The sequence below is a fragment of the Homo sapiens genome, chromosome 21, assembly GCF_000001405.40.
Source record: "Homo sapiens chromosome 21, GRCh38.p14 Primary Assembly".
Taxonomy (NCBI): domain Eukaryota; kingdom Metazoa; phylum Chordata; class Mammalia; order Primates; family Hominidae; genus Homo; species Homo sapiens.
This window is the reverse complement of record NC_000021.9, coordinates 28,108,543-28,128,858: the sequence shown is the minus strand read 5'-3', so window position 1 is coordinate 28,128,858 and position 20,316 is coordinate 28,108,543. Positions and strand designations below refer to the sequence as shown.

At 34.4% G+C, this 20,316-nt stretch overlaps 2 long non-coding RNA genes across 2 annotated transcripts in view; one reads left to right on the top strand and one right to left on the bottom strand.

The window, feature by feature from the left end:
- LINC01695 (long intergenic non-protein coding RNA 1695) overlaps window positions 1–12,765 on the top strand; it is a 112,574-nt gene extending 99,809 nt beyond the window's left edge. The window contains exon 6 of the long non-coding RNA NR_126012.1: window positions 8,985–12,765. This is a non-coding gene — a long non-coding RNA (long intergenic non-protein coding RNA 1695). The remainder of the gene's footprint in view (window positions 1–8,984) is intronic.
- LINC01697 (long intergenic non-protein coding RNA 1697) overlaps window positions 1–20,316 on the bottom strand; it is an 89,196-nt gene that overhangs the window by 8,751 nt on the left and 60,129 nt on the right. The window lies entirely within an intron of this gene.

The following is a 20,316-nucleotide window of genomic DNA, read 5'->3' as shown; positions in this document are numbered from 1 at the left end:
GGGGAAATTAAGGAAGCAGAACTCTGGGTAGAAGGAAAGTTGGAGTGAGTTTTATCTATAACAAGGACCAGCCAAGTTTGAGGGATGCCTCACAGAAGAGAGGGCCCTTCAGAGTTATCCTGTTTTGAGGAGAGTCACTCAGATTGTTATATTTCCCTACCAAATAGTCATTAGATGTGGGTTTCCCCAAGAAGGACACATCTCCTTAGATGGGGAAGCATTCCTCAGCTGATAATAATTCTGGAGGAGGTCTTGACCTCTGAGAGATATCAACACATAATCTTCATAGCGGCTGGGAGAATAACTATCTCAATCCTGATGGGGATATCTAGGACGTCCAGCACTGCATCTTCTACAAACAAATGTCTTGATTTTCTCTGATATGAAGAAAAGTTTAGATATGAATGGTTGTTGTAATTTTGGTTCAGCTATTCAATGGCGTGAGGCCTTCTTTACATCTATTTTTCTCTTGGCCTTTCTTTATGATCACAAGATGGTGACTACAACTATAGGTATCAAAACGAGAAGGGAGAAGTCAGTGGGGTGTATATCAAGGTTCCCTTCATTAGGGAAGGTAAAGCCAGCCCCACAGTTCTTCAGCAGACTTACCTGTTACTCTTATTGTCTATAACTAAGTCACAGAGCAAGAGAGATGGGCACATTTCATAGTTTCTGGAAAGAGAAAGCATTATCTTGACTGATTTAATTTTCTGAGATTGGAAATATTTTTGTCTGATGAGGTTTACTGACAAAGGAGAAGGAGAGAATGGATATGTTGAAGGCAAAATGCAAAAGCAGGGTTAGCCATGTGTCATTTCATTCTTAACTTGTAACCACATTGACTTCTAAGAAGCATATGCCTTATAACCATACATGGGGCATCAGAGCATTTGGGTACGGGAAAAGAGAAGATATGAGGTGTGGACAAGAACAAATGATTCTTTCCTTAAACCAGTACTTTTCTCAACTCATTTGAATCTACAGAATATGATAGACAATCAAAAGTAAAGTGGAGATGGAAAAGAGAACAGGCATAATACACTGAACTTAGGTGGGAATTCCAACTTTATATGTAATGGGTAACAAAAAGAATGACTAAACAAATTCAGTTCTATCTAGTGAGAACCAAACTGTGCTTTCATTTATATCAATCTCTGTTTGCACCATCAGAAACATTAGCTTGTTATTAGCTGTTTCCCAATGCTAATGTTTATTGGCACTGAAAGTGAGTAAGAATACATCTGTGGTAGATTAGCTTAGTGAGGCTTGTAAATGGGGTCACAGAGTCCTAGAAATTAAGGGCTGGAGAGACTTTGCAAATCATTTAATGCAAACTCATCATTTTACACACAGGAAACTGAGGTCAAGAAGGGGCAAATTGCCCAAAATAAATATAGGTGTGAACTTTTGAAAGATTTTGTTTTGTTTTGTTTTGTTTTGCCTTTTAAATTAAGTAACAGTTACGTGTTTTGCTAGTCTTGGACTTCTCTTTGAACAGATTTGAGCAGAGTGTGATCCTGTTCATCACCAAAAACGTTGAAAAGACTCATTCATATTCAGGGAAAAGAAATGCAGATAGCTTAAGTAATTTCAGTAAGATTGAAGCCTACCTCATATGCCAAAACTAATCAAACATCAGAAGTATCATCTTTTGACAAAGTAATTATTTTAAAATAATACTTGTTGATTGTTACTAAATTCACAGAACAATTAACATGTTTCTGAGTCAGCAAAAATGAAACATATTTCAGCAAGCATCTATTTAACTTTGTGATGTCCCAACGGACCAAATCTAAACATAGATTTCAATGGCAAAAGTTTGTTTAATGGGAAAACCTATCCAAAAAGAAACATTTGTTTCATCTGTAGTGGGGAAATATCCATCTGCTCTTAGGTTGGTACAGAAAGCCAAGAATTTTGCAAAACTTTCCACTGGCTGGTTGTTGCTTGTGATCCAAGTGAAGAAAATATTTGAAAAAAAAATCAATGGTCAATCACTTTTAAAAATGCAACTTTGACAAAAATTTATGTGGGGATTGGGTAGTTCAACAACTAAATGACATTTTGCTGTTATTGGATAAACTATGTTTGGGAGTATAAATAGAGCTCCAGCATGAGTGAGTTGGCAAAGATGAATAGTGTATCTAAATAGCAAAATCATGGTTACCAGAGGCTGAAAAGAATAGTGGGAAGTTGGGGTGGAAAATGGAGATAGTTAATGGTTAGAAATACAGTTAGATACAATGAATAAGATCTAATATTTGAAAGCACAACAGGATGACTAAAGTTAGCAATAGTTTGTTGTACATTTTGGAATAACTCAGGGACTACAATTGGAATGTTTGTAACACAAAGAAATGATGAATGCTTGAGGTTATGGAAACCCTATTTACCATGATGTGATTAATACACATTGCATGCCTGTAGCAAAATATCTCATGCCCCCATTAATATATACACTTACTATGTACTCATAAAAATAATTTTCTTTTAAAAGAAGAAACTAAAAAACATAGCAAAATTATTTGAAATAGTGACTATCATCAGATGATCTCTTAAGTTGGGAATGCTTTTTTATATTACCTTTTTAAGTTTACATTAATTAGTAAACTATACAAATTATTGTTTGTTTCTGCACTCATTGTTTTAAAATATGTAAATTAATTCATTTTTTAACTCCCTCAAAGGAGCAAAAATATGTATTAATTCTGATTAACATTTATATCACTTCTAGACTTCACCACTATGCAATATATCCATGTTACAAAAATGCACGTGTATCCCTTAAATCTATACAAATAAAAAAATGAAAAATAAAGTTTGATCATAAAATTTTATGTTAAAGAGGGTACTTTAGAGACATTATTGGTTAGAACTATTTATTTTACAATAAAAAAACAAAGCCATGTAGATTAAATAACTTTGTCTGGATCACAGAGCAAGTTAGTGATCTTCCAGATTCTTTTATTACATTGCGTTAGTCTATAAAGAAAGAAGGCTCCCTCAGTCTCTACTGTCTTAATATAATCTATAAAATTAGAATTCACTGAGCCAACATGGCTTTTTTGTTTCTTTTTCAAAAAAGGGCAGGTTATAAAAAACAGACCAATGGACGGTTAAGAATTGACCGATAAAACAGAAAACAGATACACTACAAAACATGGAGATTTCGTATACTTATTAGAGGATCAAATAACTTCACATATTTCAGTAGTCCTTGAGAATTTATGTGTACATTAAACACACTTTAATAGTTGAGATTCATAATGCATATTTTGAATTATGAAGGCATTTCAGTATATGTATAGCACATTTAGTATATGCCTAAGTCATTAGGGAAAGAAAGACTACAGGGGGAATTTAAAATCTGAATAGGACAAATTTTGCAAACAACTGCTAGTACTTAGAAATAAAATGCAATTCAGTGATACGAAGACATTTCTTAGGACTTCTGATAGAAAAATATGTATTGATATAATTAAAATCAGTATGGCATATTGTTAAAATATATTTTGTTATGGCGATTCTAATATTTTGACTTTTAGTAATTCAAGTTTCCCTTCTCCTTGACTTCAATTACAGATGGATTAATCATAATAGTAATTAATTATTAATTCAAATGAACGTAATTTTTTCTCTTTCAAATTATAACTAGGAATTTGTTTTAAGTCATAAAGTCATCATATAAATCTTCTATTTCTTTGATGTAGGCAGTTTCAATATACCACACTTGTGATGTTGTTGCTTATCAATCATTATTTTATAATGAAGTATACTCTAGCCAAATTTGAAAAGTAGGAAATACTATCGCCCAAATTATTTTAATATTTTAATGGAATATTTAATTATCTTTATTAAGTATTGACCTTATTAAATTGGTAAGTGGAACTCTAGGAAGTCATTGATTAAAACAACTCCTCCAATCAAAAGAGAACTAGAAAGTTTTATTCATATTCTCTTCACTTCTCCCTTTCCTTCTCTCTAAGACAAAGCTTGACATGATCCATTTGTGTATGTGCATGTGTGAGATAAAAATTTAAACTATTTTATTTCACACACACAAGTATGTGTGTAAGTACGAAAATATCCAAACTGTTCCTTGAAATTTTAAACAAAATCAAGATTTACAGAGTTAGAATATCAGTGTTTGGAAAAAAGATTCTTAAGACTCATTATGAATTCCTAGCTAGATATAATATAAGCAAATAATGTTATTGTTGTAGGCGTTTATATAAATTTTGTTTGTTCTTTTGTGCAAATCTAGAAATACACATTTCTACATTTGTTTATTTTTACTATAAAAAATTTAAATCAAAATACTCTAGGATTATTCTATGCTGTTTATTCTGTTAAATCTTTCCCCTTGACCATCTTTTCTAGTGACAGGAAGGGTCATAGTCGAGGAAGGAAACTATTGCTTGTCCCCTACATTCTTTATGATTGATCTCTACAATCAATTGGAGATGACATAGAAACCTCGACCAATACCCAATCCTGAGATTATAATAAATCATTTTATGTTAAAATTGTTACAAGTTAATTCTCCAACATAATAGTTTAAACTATGAAATTATCTTAATCAAAGCTCATTCATGGAAAACAATGTTGCACAAAGCTGGAGGGGCAGCTGAATAGTCCAAGAAAAACATGAACATGTGACCAGCCCCATGCCAACAGCAAATAAGCCAAGATATTTGATGCTGCCCATTGGAAAATAGCTTCCAATTTCTATATATTAGCCTCTCAAAGAAAGGTAGAGCAATAAAAACATGGAAAAGCAATGACAAAAAAGGATGAATTAATATACTCTTTAATACAATAGTTCACGTTCCTGAAATAATTTATTGAAAAAGGACACCTGATGTAAATTTATTTCCATTGACAATTTTGAGATTCATTTGTCAAAGTTACGTGTGCTTGTTATAAGAATAACTTACATATACTATGTATTGATACTTTATTTTTGTAATATTCAAGTAACTTTCTCATCTTTTACTCTTGCAGTAACTACCTTGATAATCACTATATATTTTCCAAGAGAAATAAAAGAATGTGGAAATGGCTCTGTACTGTGAAGGTCAATTCGTGGAATAAAAGTGATGGGAATAGTTTATGCTTTGTAAATAGCTGATCTGAAAATTTCTTATTAAAATAACATTGGCTTAAACATGGATGGTTGGAATAATTTATTAAACACCGTGGAATATTTGTGCTCTATATTTTCTATCTTTGCAGGCTTAAGTTATTCTAATGCTATTGGATGTTGCTGATAATATGGTTTTATTACAGTAAAACTACAATACAACACCAGAATAAAACTAATAAAATATTTTATTTTTAATGGAAATTTATAGTATCTGTAGTTTCATGGCTCTTTCTCACATTTTCTCTCATTCATACATAACTCTTTGTTTAAAATACTCACAATTTGAAAAAAGATGAGGTTAAATATATAGAATAGAAAAAAAGAAAAGTGAAGAAAAATGGATGGGAGGAGTATAAATTTTAAGGTAAGCTTTCATTATGAAATCAATAAAAAATGAAACATATGTAATAAACAATAAGTCATACAAATCAGAGCAATGAATGGTTAAGTAGCACCTTTCTTCCACCCCAGGTTCTTAGTGCAGCATTCACTGGGTAAAACTCACAAGCTCCACACTCATTCCAGTGCTGTAGGAGATCTGGCAGGGTAGGATGAAAGGCTCTGGGAGAAGAGTGCAGCCCTCAAGCTGTGGAGCTTCTAAGCTTCAAGATTACAGAAGAACCTAACTTTTTCTCTAACAGCCATTTGATATGACAGAAACAAACCTCTGCTCTTGTTACCTTACCATCCATCCCTTCCCCTGGCATGATCAGGATTAGGGTCAAAGCCTTTCAGATGACCAGAATTGGTTGACTTTATTACTATGCTGAAGTTAGTTTATATGGTGGTTTGTGGGATGGTAGTAACATATATTCTGACAGGCCAACAAGAAGGGCCCAGGTAGCTTGTGGTTACTTCTGCTTTGGTTATATTGGTGAGCAATGGATACTGTATTGTATACTATGTTCAATTTCAGTCAGAAGAAACAACCACTTCTTATTATACCCTGTTTTTTTGGAGGAATAGTAGGCCAGATAGGAAATCTAAGTTTGAGTGGTATGGGCAAGTATTAAAAGTGACAAACTTGAAGTTAAACATTTCTAGAAGTGGTAACTTTTTTTAAGTGGGTGTTTTAAAGAAGAGCAAATATTTAAATCATGAAGCAGTAGAAAATACTTGAGAAATCAAAAGCGTAGCTTACTACAAAAAACTAATTTTAAAATTTCTCAATCACCACTACATATGTTAATAATAATGGTAATACTTGTATTCAGTATTGTGGTCAGAAAATAATAGTTTTTGCTTTTCCTTCTAATACTAAAGGCTTAAAATCAGGTTTATGATAAAATTTAATTTGCAGCATGACATTTAAGAATACTATCCTTAATGATTCCGGGTAATAGAAATGAGTAAAGTACATAAGAAGATGATGTATCTGATATTGACTTGTCATTTTTCCACTCCTACAAGCCCTTTGAATCCATGTGCTTTTAATAATCATCTGCCAAAGACTTTATTTGGCACATCAGCTATTATGCTTTGAGTATTTCATAATAAAAGCAGGTTAAAAATAATGCCTGCCCCCCTTTTTCCTCTTATCAAAAAATAGAAAAAAAAATTGGTTTGAACTTGATAGTATTTTTATTTTATAAGGTATAATTACTTCTTAGTCTAATGGATTCCACTGGAAGAAGATATTAACAACAAGGCTCTCTACTTAGAAATCTAAAATTCAAGGGAAATATCATTACACCAAATACTGTTTTTCACAGAATTTTGCCTAGCCCTGGACCATGTTTCATCAGGTGAAAGCATGGCCAGGGAATAGAAATCAAGAGAGGGAGGGAAACAACTAGGGTAAGAAATAACCATTTTACTTTGAAATAAGCCAAAAAAAAAATATAAATAAAGATAATAGAGGTGAGTGATGTCTGGAAAGTCATGGGATCCCACAGAAACAAGAAAATAATTTAAACCGAAGAATCATCCACGACTTAACTCCACATACATCTACTACCAACTTATTGATGTAAAGCAAAATACACCAACAATATGAGTCACAGTTGGTATTAATTTATTCAAAAATTTAACTTCGTGGCTTAAAACAGTCTTTTCTAACCCTAAATTTCTAACCTATATAGGAAAATCTTGGCCCATTAAACACTTGAGTCCATCTCTTTTAAATTATAATGTCAAAATATGTTTACTAGGAGAAAGTATAAATTACATAAAAATCATTTTAGTTAAAAATTATTTTTGATATGAAGTACTCCATAGACCATAAAAACCATCCTAAAAGTGAATTCACTGTGGATCAACATTTAGGCTGGACTCTGCTGGGGAAATCTTTTCCTCACATGTGAATGTGTTAAATGGCTAGGGGATGATCTGCAAATGACTTATCTAGGATGGCTAGGAAAAGGGAGCTCTCTCAGGCCTGTCTCCCTTCTATACAGAATTCCAGCCTAATGAATTTCTTTTTGTTGAGTGCAGAGTCATTGGAGTGAGTAAGTGCAGCCAAATAAGAGTGCCAGAGCAGAAATGTAATGCAAACCTCAACTTTACATTACATTGACTGTCTTAACATGGGTCAAATGAAGTGGACGAGCACTACAAAGATATGGCCCAAAGATCTCATTCAAACTACAGTCAACAATAATTTGTTGTATATTTTAAAATAACTAACCGTGTATAATGGGATTGTTTGTAACACAAAGAAAGGATAAGTCCTTGAGGTGATGGATACTCCCATTTAACTCGATGGGATTATTATACATTGTATGCCTGTATCAAAATATTTCAAGTCTCCCATAAATATGTACACCTACTATGTACCCACAAAAGATGAAAATTTAAAGAAAGATATAGCCCGAAGTGCATGCGTAAGGGAGGGTCATTCATTGGGGATAAGAGTGCTGCCAATACCACGCACAGCTTGTGAGCTTTGTATTCTTGCTATTTCCAAATACATCTTTTTTTTTCTAAGTCAACAATCACCAAGTCTACCTAATGCCCCCCCTGCTAAAATATGCCTTTGAAATTATTTCTAATCAAATTTATTGAAGTGTAATTAAAATTCATCCATTTTGAGTGTATGGTTGTGTAAATTTTAAAAAATATATGCACTCACGTAACCACTACCCTAATCATTTAGAACATTCCCATAATCCCAAAAGTGTCATTCATGACTCTGTAGAAAAGACTAATGCTTTCTGTCAGGCAACCGTAAAATGATTTTTCCCCTTTTAAATAGGCTTTTTTTTTTTTTTTTTAACAGTTTTAGTTTCACAACGATATTAAGCAGTAAGTACAGGGAGTTCTCACATATCCCCTGCCCCCAAATAAGCGTAGCCTCTTCCATTATCAATATACCCTACCACTGTGGTACATTTATTACAATTGATGCATCTAACTTGACAAATCATATCATCCAAATTCAGGGTTTACATTAGGGTTCACTCTTGGTTTATATATTATATGGCTTTTGACAAATATACAGGGAGACGTATCTACCATTGAAGTATCGTTTCGAGTAGTTTAACTGCCATAAAACTCTGTGTTCTGCTTATTCACCTCTTTTTATTCATCTCTTTTCTCTACTCATCCCTGGCACAGATCCTTTTACTGCACCATAGTTTTGTTTTTTTTTTCAGAGTGTTGTATATTTGGAATGATACAGTATGTATTAATAGTATTTTCAGATAGGATTTTTCCACTCAGTAATATGCATTAAGCTTCCTCCATTTATTTTTTATTTTTTGCTTGATAGCTTCTTCTTTCCCCTAAGTTGAATAATAGTTCATTGTCTGGATATACCATTGTTTATTTCTCCGTTCCTCCACTGAAGGAAATCTTGGTTGTTTTCTAGTTTTGACAATTAAAAATGAAACCGTTACAGGGTGTGGTGACGCAACCTGTAGTCCCAGCACTTCGGGAGGCCGAGGTGGCAGATCACTCGAGCTCAGGAGTTCAAGAGCAGCCTGGCAAAATCCCGTGACTCCAGAAGTATGAAAATTAGCCGGGCGTGGTGGCGCACACCTGTAGTCCTAGCTACTTGGGAGGCTGAGGTGGGAGGATTGCGTGAGCTCGGGAGGTTAAGGCTGCAGTGAGCTGAGATCGCACCACCACACTGCGGTCTGGGTGACAGAGTGAGATCCTGTCTCAAAAAACAAAATAAAATATAACAAAACTGGTATAGACATTCATATGTAGGTTTTTGTATGGATTTGGTATGATTTTTATTGTTAAAGTTTAGTTTTTATGTTTTAGAGTTATATATATATATGAATCATTTAATTTGTATGCTTATGTGTTTGGCTCCTTTTCCTCAGCATAATGTTTTAAGATTCCTCTATGAATCAGTTGCATATATCAGGAGTTTTTTCTTATAGTTCAGTAATATTCCATTATGTGAATATAGTATAATTTCTTTATCTCTTCAGCTGTTAATGGACATTTAGGGTGTTCAGTTTGGGGATATTTGAAATGTTATGAACATTTTTGTACAGATCTTATGATACATACATTTTTATTTTTCTTATCAGAATGATATTACTGAGTCATGTGATATTTTTATTTTTAACATTATGTAAACTGTTTTAAATAGAACAATTGTTTTCCAAAGTAGCTGTGCTATTTATACCTTCAGTCAAAATATACAAAAGTTTCTTGTTACTGCACATAATCTCCAACAGAAAGGACTTATGGTAAATCTTTAACAAATTTTAGTCATTCTACTCCCTGTTGGTGGTATCTTTTTGTGGTATTTTTGAAAGAAATTGACTTTTATTGAGATATGATTTACATATAATTAAATGACCACATTAAGAGTACACTTTGATAAGTTTTGCTAACTGTACATATCAATGTAACCACCACAATTGAAAATTAGATCTTTTTTATCTTCTCAAAGTGTTCCTTTATGCTCTTCTGTAGACAATCTTCCCCAGTCCTCAACACAGGCACCAATGGATATGAATTCAGTCATTGTCGACTGGTGTTCTGCCTGTCCTAGATGTCACGTAAATGGATTCAAATAGATGTGTGCTCTTGTGTCTGACTCCTTTTGTTCAGCGTGGTGCTTTTGAGATTTATCTGTGTCATTTGGGGTATCAGTAATTCATATCTTTTATTTCCAACTAGGGTTGTGTGATTATACCACAATGTCTTTTGCAAATTAGTTGTTTCATTTTATATATTTTATATGTATCAGCAGTTTATGAGTTATAAATAACTTTTCTTTATAAATTACCCAGTTTCAGGTAGTTCTTTGGTGGTGTTTTCCTGTTGCTCTCCGTTCTAACACCTGATATTGTTGGTCTTACTTTTAGCCATTTTAGTACTAGATGCTCCCCGACTCACGATGGGGTTATGCCCCAATAAATCCATTGTTAAGTTGAAAATATCACAAGTTGAAAATGCATTTTTAATACACTTTAACTATCAAACGTCATAGCTTAGCCTAGCCTACCTTAAACAGGCTCACAACACTTACATTATTCTACACTTGAGCAAAATCATCTGGCAACACAGCAAACTGTAGAGTATCTCTTGTTTACTCTGGTGATCTTGTGGCTGACTGGAAGCCTTAGCTCCCTGCCACTGTCCAACATCCCAAGAGGGTTTTCTACTGCTTTCTACTGAATGTGTATTGCTTTTGCACCATTTTAAAGTAAAAAAAGTTATATGTCAAATCATCAAAAGTTGTTTTGATGAGATTTTCTGTTTGTGTAGTAATATTTCACTTTAGTTATAATTTCTGTATACCTGACAGCCAATTATATTGTGTATGTTTATATTTATTTACTTATTTCATACCTTCTTGTATGAAATTGTTGTCCAAATTTTTTGTCCAGTTTCTAAATCACAGTTTACTTTCTCATTATTAATATGTTTTTTATTTTTATTTTTTATTATTTTTGTTTTTAGACGGAGTCTCTTCTCTGTCGCCCAGGCTCGAGTGCAGTGGCGCAATCTCTGCTCACTGCAAGCTCCGCCTCCTGGGTTCACGCCATTCTCCTGCCTCAGCCTCCCGAGTAGCTGGGACTACAGGCGCCCGCCACCACACCTGGCTAAGTTTTGTATTTTTTTAGTAGAGACGGGGTTTCACCGTGGTCTACATCTCCTGACCTCGTGATCTGCCCGCCTCGGCCTCCCAAAGTGCTGGGATTACAGGCGTGAGCCACCGCACCCGGCCAAGTTTTTTCTTTTGTAAAATTTGAATATATAAGTCCCATATAAGGTCAATTTATTCTTTTTTCTCGCATGGTCAGTGCTATACAAGATGATAAAGATATATGCCTACCTTTTCTTTTGTTAAGTTTATATTTCAGCTCATATGTTAAATCTATAATCCATTTTGAGTTAATTTTGTAGATGGGGTGAGGTAAGAATAGATACACAACTTTTAGGCTGATATTCAGTTGTCCTAGCACTAGTTTATTGAAGATACTTTTTTCCCCATTAAATGTCCTTGAACTTTTTCAAAAAAGCAATTGACTATATGTGTTTGGGTGTTGATACAGTTTGAGTCTGTGTCCCCACCCAAATCATGTCAAATTGAAATCCCCAATGTTGGAGGTGGGGCCTGGTGGGGAGTGATTGGTTCATGGGGACAGATTTTCCCTTTGGTGTTGTTGTTATGACAGCGAGTGAGTTATGAGATCTGGTTGTTCAAAAGTGTGTAACACCTCCCCACTCTCTCTTCCTCCTGCTCTGGCCATGTAAGACGTGACTGCTTGCCCTTCACCTTCCGTCATGGTTGAAAGTTTCCTGAGGTCTCCCCAAACATGCTTCCCATACAGCTTCCCAACTGTGAACAAATGAAATCTCTTTTCTTTATAAATTACCCAGTTTCAGGTAGTTCTTTACAGTAGTGAGGGAACAGACTAATACAGTTATATCCTGTTCCATCTTTTTTCTAATGCTTTGCTGCATTGTCTTATAACACAGCTTTATAATCTTAAAATCATAACCTGTAGGCCCTCAAAATCTTTTCTTTTTAAAAATTATTTTGGCTATTGAAGGTCCTTTGTGTTTCCGTATAAATTTGACAATTGTCTGGTTGATTTCCTCAAAAATTCTTTTGGCTTCCAAAATTTGAAAGCAGCCTAAGTGTTATCAAGAATTGAATGGATAAATAAAATGCAGTACAGATACACAATGGAGTACTATTCAGCAATAGAAAGAATGAAATCCTGTCATTTGCAACAACATGGATGGAACTGGAGGTCATTATGTTAAGTGAAATAAGCCATACACAGAAAGACAAACTTCATATATTCTCACTTTTTTGCGAGAGCTAAAAATTAAAACAATTGAACTCATGGAGATGGAGAATAGATTGATGGTTACCAGAGGCTTGGAAGGATAGTGGGAGTGGGGAATGTGGATGGTTAATGGGTACAAAAATACAGGTTTATAGGGTTAATACCTGTTGATACAACAACATGGTAGCTACAGCCAACAATAATTTATCATACATTTAAAAATAACCAAAACAGTATAATTGAAATATTTGTAACACAAGGAAAATGATAAGTACCTGAGGTGACGGGTACCCTATTTACCCTGATGTGATTATTACACATTGTATGTCTGTATCAAAATATCTCAGGTACTGATAAATGCATACACCTACTATGTACCCATAAAAATCAAAAATTAAAAATTAAACAACATAATGTTTCTACTGGCTTCTATTTTTTTCTGGCAATCTTTGTCTTCCTTGGCTTGTCAACTCATCCCTCCAATCTCAGTCTCCGTATTCACGTGGTATTCTTCCCTCCCTGTGCTGGTGTCTCTGCATCCAAATTTCTTTCTTTTTATCAGGTCGAGCCCTACTCTAGCATGACCATATTTTAACTTGATTATATCTGCCAAAACCCTATTTCCGAATAAGATCACATTCACAAGACATGAATTTGCAGGAGAATTTAACCCAGTACGGTACTGTTTTAAGAGATGTGTCTTTGTATCTCATTTTGTAATTGTTTATTATTATTATATTAAAATATATGACTGTTGTATATTTACCACATACCTGTAATCTTATTAAATTTACTTATGGGTTGTAAGATATATTTTGCAGATTATTTAAAATTGTGTATATAAATTATTATGCCATTTGCAAACAAATATGTATTGTTTTGATTTATTTTTTTCTTACCTTCTTCCACTGGCCAAGTCTTTTAGTGCAGTGCTGAATAAAAATGCTAAAGATGGACATTATTGCCCTGTTTCTGATCTTAAGCAGGATGAGCTTTTTCACCATTAAGTATGTTCACCATAAGGTTTTTTTTTTTCTGCAAATACATTTTATCAGGCTGAGAAAGTAATGCATTCAGCCTCCAATGATGGCTTGTTTCCTTTGTTTTTGTTTGTTTGTTTTCTCCCTACTTTAACTTGTTTCTTTATTGCTAAGTCTTCGGTTCTTCTCAATGCGCTTCATTTTTTTGCTTGTTTCTCTTGGGATTTCTCATGTAGTTGCATTGAGAAAGTGCCTGGATTGGCTGTCGTTACAAGCTCAACTGGAACATGGAGACAACTGTGTCTTTCTCTTTGTTACATGGTGTGATGGTTAATATTGAGTGTCAACTTGATTGGATTGAAGGATGCAAAGTATTGTTCCTGGGTGTGTGTGCGAGGGTGTTGCCAAAGGAGATTAACATTTGAGTCAGTGGACTGGGAAAGACAGACCCACCCTCAATCTGGGTGGACACAATCTAAACAGCTGCCAGTAACGGCCAGAATAAAAGCAGGCAGAAGAATGTGAAAAGACTAGACTGGTTTAGTCTTCTGGCCTACATCTCTCTCCTGTGCTGGATGCTTCCTGCCATCGAACATCAGACTGCAAGTGCTTCAGCTTTGGGATTCGGACGGGCTTCCTTGCTCCTCAGCTTGCAGATGGCCTATTGTGAGACCTCACCTTGTGATCGTGTGAGTCAATACTCCTCAATAAACTCCCCTGTGTGTGTGTATATATATATATATATATATATACACACACATCTATCCTATTAGTTCTGTCCTTCTATAAAACCCTAATATACATGGTCTTAGGGTATCTCACACAGTATCTCCAGCAGGTGTAACTGGACATCTTTTATGGCTGCTCAACATTCCCAAGATCTCAAAATTAAAAATCAATAGCCTTTCTTAAAGTGTAGGTACAGAATTATCTCACCATTCTTCGTGGGCAAAAACTGCACAGAATCTGGAAGGCTGGCTCCTTTGGTGCCATCTTCGGAGACAAACTATCAGACTACCTGCTGGTGTACATTAAGTTAGTAATATTTTATGTGCTTTTGTTAGCTAATTATAGAATGTGGATTTCAGATAACATCTTTGAAGTGTGATCTAAAAGCTCTAGGTTGTAGATTGCAATTAACTTTTCTACCTATACACATGCCGCTGCTTACTTTGAACTATTTTAAAGTAAATTGCAGAAGATGTAACATCATAGATTTACAATTTTATTAATTTTGTTTTATATATTAGCATTAAATAGTAAAATGATAATGCTGAAACACTAGAAGAAAGATTTTTAAAGAATATTAAATTAATTGCATTTATATAAACATGTAAATTTGAAAGTTATATACTAAGCCCCAAATAAAAAATAGAAGAAAAACTGAAGAATGAATTAAAAATATTGAAGTTACATTAATAGAAAAAAATAAAGAAAAATATGCCTAATTTAAAAATAATGTTATTTATGTAAAAAGCAAAACAAACTGACAAAAATACAAGCAAACACTTCTAACCCAAAACTCTGGACCTAGCCTTGAACTATAGAGTGGTTTCTATTGGTGTTTGCCTTTAGAAAATCTGTGCAAAGTAGACATAGTGAGTCATCAAAGATTCTTATCCTCAGGGCATAATTGATTTCTATTGAAATAAATATAAGAAAAATTGTATAGATAAACAAGATAACATAATTGATGAATATCATTTGCAGGAGTAAAATATGCTACAATATGTTGTCACTAAAGTCATGTCTATATTATTTAGAGGCAATTATCCATTTGTGATTGAGATCTTCCATAAATATGTCAATCCATAATCAGCCCTTCCTTCTTCCTGCTACGGTAACTGCTATTTGTGAGCACTCACTTTGGATTATTAGCCATCTTTTAATGCTACTTCTTTATTATTTTTCTATGGAAAATTTTCATGAGAATTCTAAATTCCCTTATGACTAGAAACTAAGCCTTCTATCTTTCGTGTCTCCCATATTTCAAACTGTGAAAATATTAAGGCTATAAATATTTGTTAAGTTAAGCAGAATTAAATATTTTTGCTACCCTAAATTTGGTAGTATATTTTTCATTAGCTTTCAATTACAAGTCAGCAATAAAAAAAGATCTGTAAGATAATTTGAACATATGTTACACCGTGTTCTTCAGAGTCATTTAATAGTGTGTACACGCACAAGCACATGTGTGCACACACAAACACACACACCCCATATTCGGAGTCTTTATATTGAAGAACAGTGAAATACTCTATGCATTACTTAACCAAATGATATATTGTGCTCATTTTAAAATACGCTCTACAAAATGGACTGTGTTTTGGCATTCAATCGCAGTTCCAACAACTGTGTAAATTTAGAGGTTGAGCTGGAGGAGCACATAAGTCATCTAGGCATAGTAGTTAGCTTTGGAAGAGCAAAGATGCATATCTAAGCATTACTGTATCCTTAGCAGTTACCAGGGACATTACTGAAAGAGTACTCTAGCTGACTTTAGGAGCCAACGATCAATTGCATTCAAGGGACTCTTTGGATGTAAACATTATTAAATTATTTTATCCACAGTATTCATACCATTTTTGACTATCATTCTAAATTAACAGAGATATTCATTTAATGGGAAAATCTACCTGGAAAAAAATTCTTAATTCTTGTGACTTATGTAAAAGTTTTCTATAATAGGACTTCAAATAACTTTTTATCTCCGAATGAAAAAGGAAACAAAAACCCAGACATTCCTATTAACAATAAATCTTGCTTGTAAAAAATTTAAGCATGTGAGGCCAAAATAGAAGACTCCAAGTGAAGCAGAAAACGCGAGGCAAATGTAGAGTAACATTTTAACTTACATTGTTTTAAACAAGAAGTAACATTTTATGACAGACCGAAGTCAAACCTACATTAAAGAAGTGACATGAGAGTTTCATGACTCCAGTAGCAACTGAAGAACTGAGGTCAAAAAAGAAACCTCTTGGAAACAGTTGCGTGTTTTTTGGTTTTTTTTTTTTTTTTTTTTTTGAGACGGAGTCTCGGTCTGTCGCCCAGGCTGGAGTGCAGTGGCGAGATGCAAGCTCTGCCTCCCGGGTTCATGCCATTCTCCTGCCTCAGCCTCCCGAGTAGCTGGAACTACAGGCACCCGCCACCACGCCCAGCTAATTTTTTTTTATTTTTAGTAGAGACGGGGTTTCACCATGTTAGCCAGGAAGGTCTCAATCTCCTGACCTCGTATTCCGCCCTCCTCGGCCTCCCAAAGTGTTGAGATTACAGGCGTGAGCCACCACTCCCGGCCGCAAACCGTTGAGTTTTAAAGTTCAGCATGAAATAGTTGCAATACCTTGCCCTGGGCCACATGAAGAGAAACACCCAGTAAAAGCAAAACTTGTTTCACATGAAGCCAGAACATTAGCATTATTGAATATGGCATTACTCTTGCTATAGAAAATTATCATTTGCTATTGTTCTGTTAGCTTCTATAGAGTACCTTCCGTTTGCTATTCACCAGTAGCTTGAGCTTAAATTCATTTTTTTGCCCTAGAAGTAAAAATCCGCATTGTTTACTAGCAGATCTCTTTGGTTGCTGAGGGCAGTTAAAAGTCCTTGATTGTGTATGTGTGTGTGTGTATGTGTGTGTATTTATGGTTTATGTTTTAACCAGACTGTCAAAATATTGCTGTTGGGGTGAGAATCCAGATTTTGAAGAAATCTTATAGTTTTGTATTTATGTTTACTTATGTTTTAGATAAATGTGGAGAGAAAAGAATGGTCAAAATATTGGCCTCTCTGGTACTTTTTCCTCAGCGTATCGTTCTGCAACTCTCAGGACATTTTAACCTTTCGATTTGATCTTATTTTGTTTTGAATGGATAGTGTGGTACCGGTAAGCCATAAATTGCATTATTGCACACTAAATACTTTTAAAAAGCATGGTAGAAACTAACAATTGCAGGAACTATTATTTATCCTAATTGATCCCAGCTGAGCTTGGAAGGGAGTCTGGCCTGAGAGCCTTCAAAGGCTTGCCAAAAGGCTGTCAGGTTTGATAACTCACACCACGCTGAACTTGGCTCAGAGAGGTCAGTTACAGAGTGAACACTAAGCTGCCCCCGATATCCAAGCCTGCTTTAAAAATGCAGAAACACTGCCAGCTGACTCGAAAGCCGCTAGATTTTCAACTTTGTTTTAAGAAGCTCATGTTTTCTTGGAACTGGGGATGGGCTGGTAAGCAAAGAGAAGACGGTCCCACGTGGAGCTACAGAGCAGCTGTAGCTGTCCTGTGTGCTGGGAGGCATCTGTTTTTGTGAAAACATGGTTTACGCATTGGCCTGAAGATTTAGGATGCACTAGGGATATAACAAAATCTTAAATTATGCTTATTTGATTGAATAACTAAATGCATCCAGGAATTTGTATTTCATTGTTTTATATAATGATTTTCACATACAATTCATTTACAGATTATACGAAGAATTTTGTTGTTTTACATTATCAAAACTTCAGCTGAATAATCTCATGCATTAGAGTAATTTGTAACATTAAGTTGTAAGCACAGTTAAGAAAACAAAACAATATTTTTCTTTTCATTGTTACAGCCTCCTTGCCTAACAAAATCCCTGGGCTCACAATGGGATATCAAGAAATATTTGTTGGATGAATGAATAAATGAAAAAATAATCGCATGAATGAAGAAACTGGCCAATCTATTTTAAGGCTTTTCTTTTTCTTAGTTCAATAAACTTCCTTACTCTCGTCACTTTTTAAGACATTTTGGTAGGAAGATACTATTTAAACCATATACTTACAGCATTCTCTTCAAATTCTAATAGCAGCTTTCTGAAACTTTCATATTATTCATAGACAATATTTTTAAAGGAGCCTAGAAATTGGCAAGACAATTTTATAATGAAAGTTCTTTTTCTTCTCCATTTTCTAATTTATAAATATAGGTAGTAGCTTCTTTATATGTTTAACTTCATATCAGAAATATGGTCTAAATAGCATAATGGACTAAAGATGGCCACAAATTATTTGCCACTTTTCATTGAAATAAGGGGTTTCTATTCCCCTTGAATGTGGACAGGCCTGAAGACTGACTTTGACCAATATAATGGTCAGAAGTGACGTTGTGTACCTCTCAAGGTTGGGCCTAAAGATGCTTGCAGCTTCTTGTGTCACCTATGTTGGTACACTCCCTTTTGGAAGCCAGATGTCATGTAAGAGATCCAGGTGACCACCATTTTGTGAGGAAGCCCAATTTTCCCAGATGGTGAGGAAGAGAACACATGAAGGAGTACATGGGCTCCAGACATGTGAGTGAACTTTTTCTACCTTCCAGTGAAGTGAAGAGAGAGAGTGAATGGTGCTAACACTACAGGGCACAGCTGTCCAGCTGATTCCTTCTTATGTTCCTGACACATTGGAACATTAGGAAATAGAGATGTCTTAAGCCAGTAAGTTTTGAGGCACTTTGTATTCATAGCAGCATATATAGAAACATGCATTTTCTTTATTAAATATAACTTTGAAACATGCCAAATACGGTTATAACATATTCGGAAGAAAATAGTAAGTAATTCCACATTACAGTAAAACTTCTTTTTTCAATGTGAGTGTGATCCCCCTGGGGATAAATAATTCATTCCGATATGAATTTATAATATTAAATTTTCACACCTACTTAAAAATCAAACTGATTGAAGCTTTATTATATCATGACAACACTTAATACTAAAAAATCTAACTTTAGAAATACGGTTTTTAAATTTAGGTTTTTACTATAGTTTATTTCATAAATGTATAAAAAGCATGAATATAGTCACATCAGATTTTAATTTATTACATTCTTTTTACCATAAACAGATATCACATGTCAAGGTCCTATGTAGCTTTCTGTGGGATTTTACTTAGTAGACCCATTAAGCAAAATAGTTTCCTTTATTTGTTATGAAATGCATTAAATGATGAATTTCTTCATTTATTATCTCAATAATACTTAAGACTTCAAGCTGGGTTTAGGTCTGAGCTTTTTATCAACATAAACAATTTCCTTGAAATAGCCATGCTGACATACATTGATCATCTTAGGATCATCACTTATCTAGTTTAAGAAAAGATAATCCTTTGTATCAGTTCACTCATATTTAGCAATTTTGCAAACTATTAGAATTACATAAGATGCTCAAGAAGAAATGATGGATTTCAAATATTGATTATTTAACTCTCCTTCAAATACACTATTGGATCAAATATGTGGACATATTTCTTAAATACTTGTAAAACAAATGAAGTGTGACATATCCCCCTTACCACCTCTCCCCACTGCCACACAACAATTGAAAAACACTTTTTTTTTTTCTGTGACTTGGTATGAAATGATTCAATAGACTTATCAGCTGCTCATATGGATAGACTGGGCTGAAGCTGTAAGAAATGTTATACTTCTTCATGCTCTCTTCCTTTCTGTATTAGTTCGGCTATGAGTTTAAGCACGAGACAATCCCAAATGTGAGTAGAATTAACATGATAGAAGTTCATTTTTTCTCTTTTGTAAAATGTCAAGCAGTCAACACAGCCCCACTCTGCAAAGTCAAAAGTTTTCTCTACTTGTCTATATGGTAACTCTGCTGCTTCCCAAGATGCTATACTGCCCCTTCAGTGTTCAATATGAACAAGTGAGAAGAGGAAGAGAAAAAAAGGATGGCACACCTTATCAAAGGGCATCTCCCGGAATGCAGATGCATACCCATTACCCACATCCTAATGCAAGTGTTAGTTGCTTGGCTATGCCCAGGTGCAAATTTGGAAAGTATTTTTTATTTCCTGTATCTGTATGTAGAGCTAAAAATTTTTATTACGATGGAGGAAGGGGGTACAGAAATTTACAGACAGCTGTCTCATGTTTTTTTGATCACTTATTCAATTCTTTATGACCATTTAGTAGAAAACTAGCATTTTCTGCCTTTGTGGTTGTTTTAGTCAG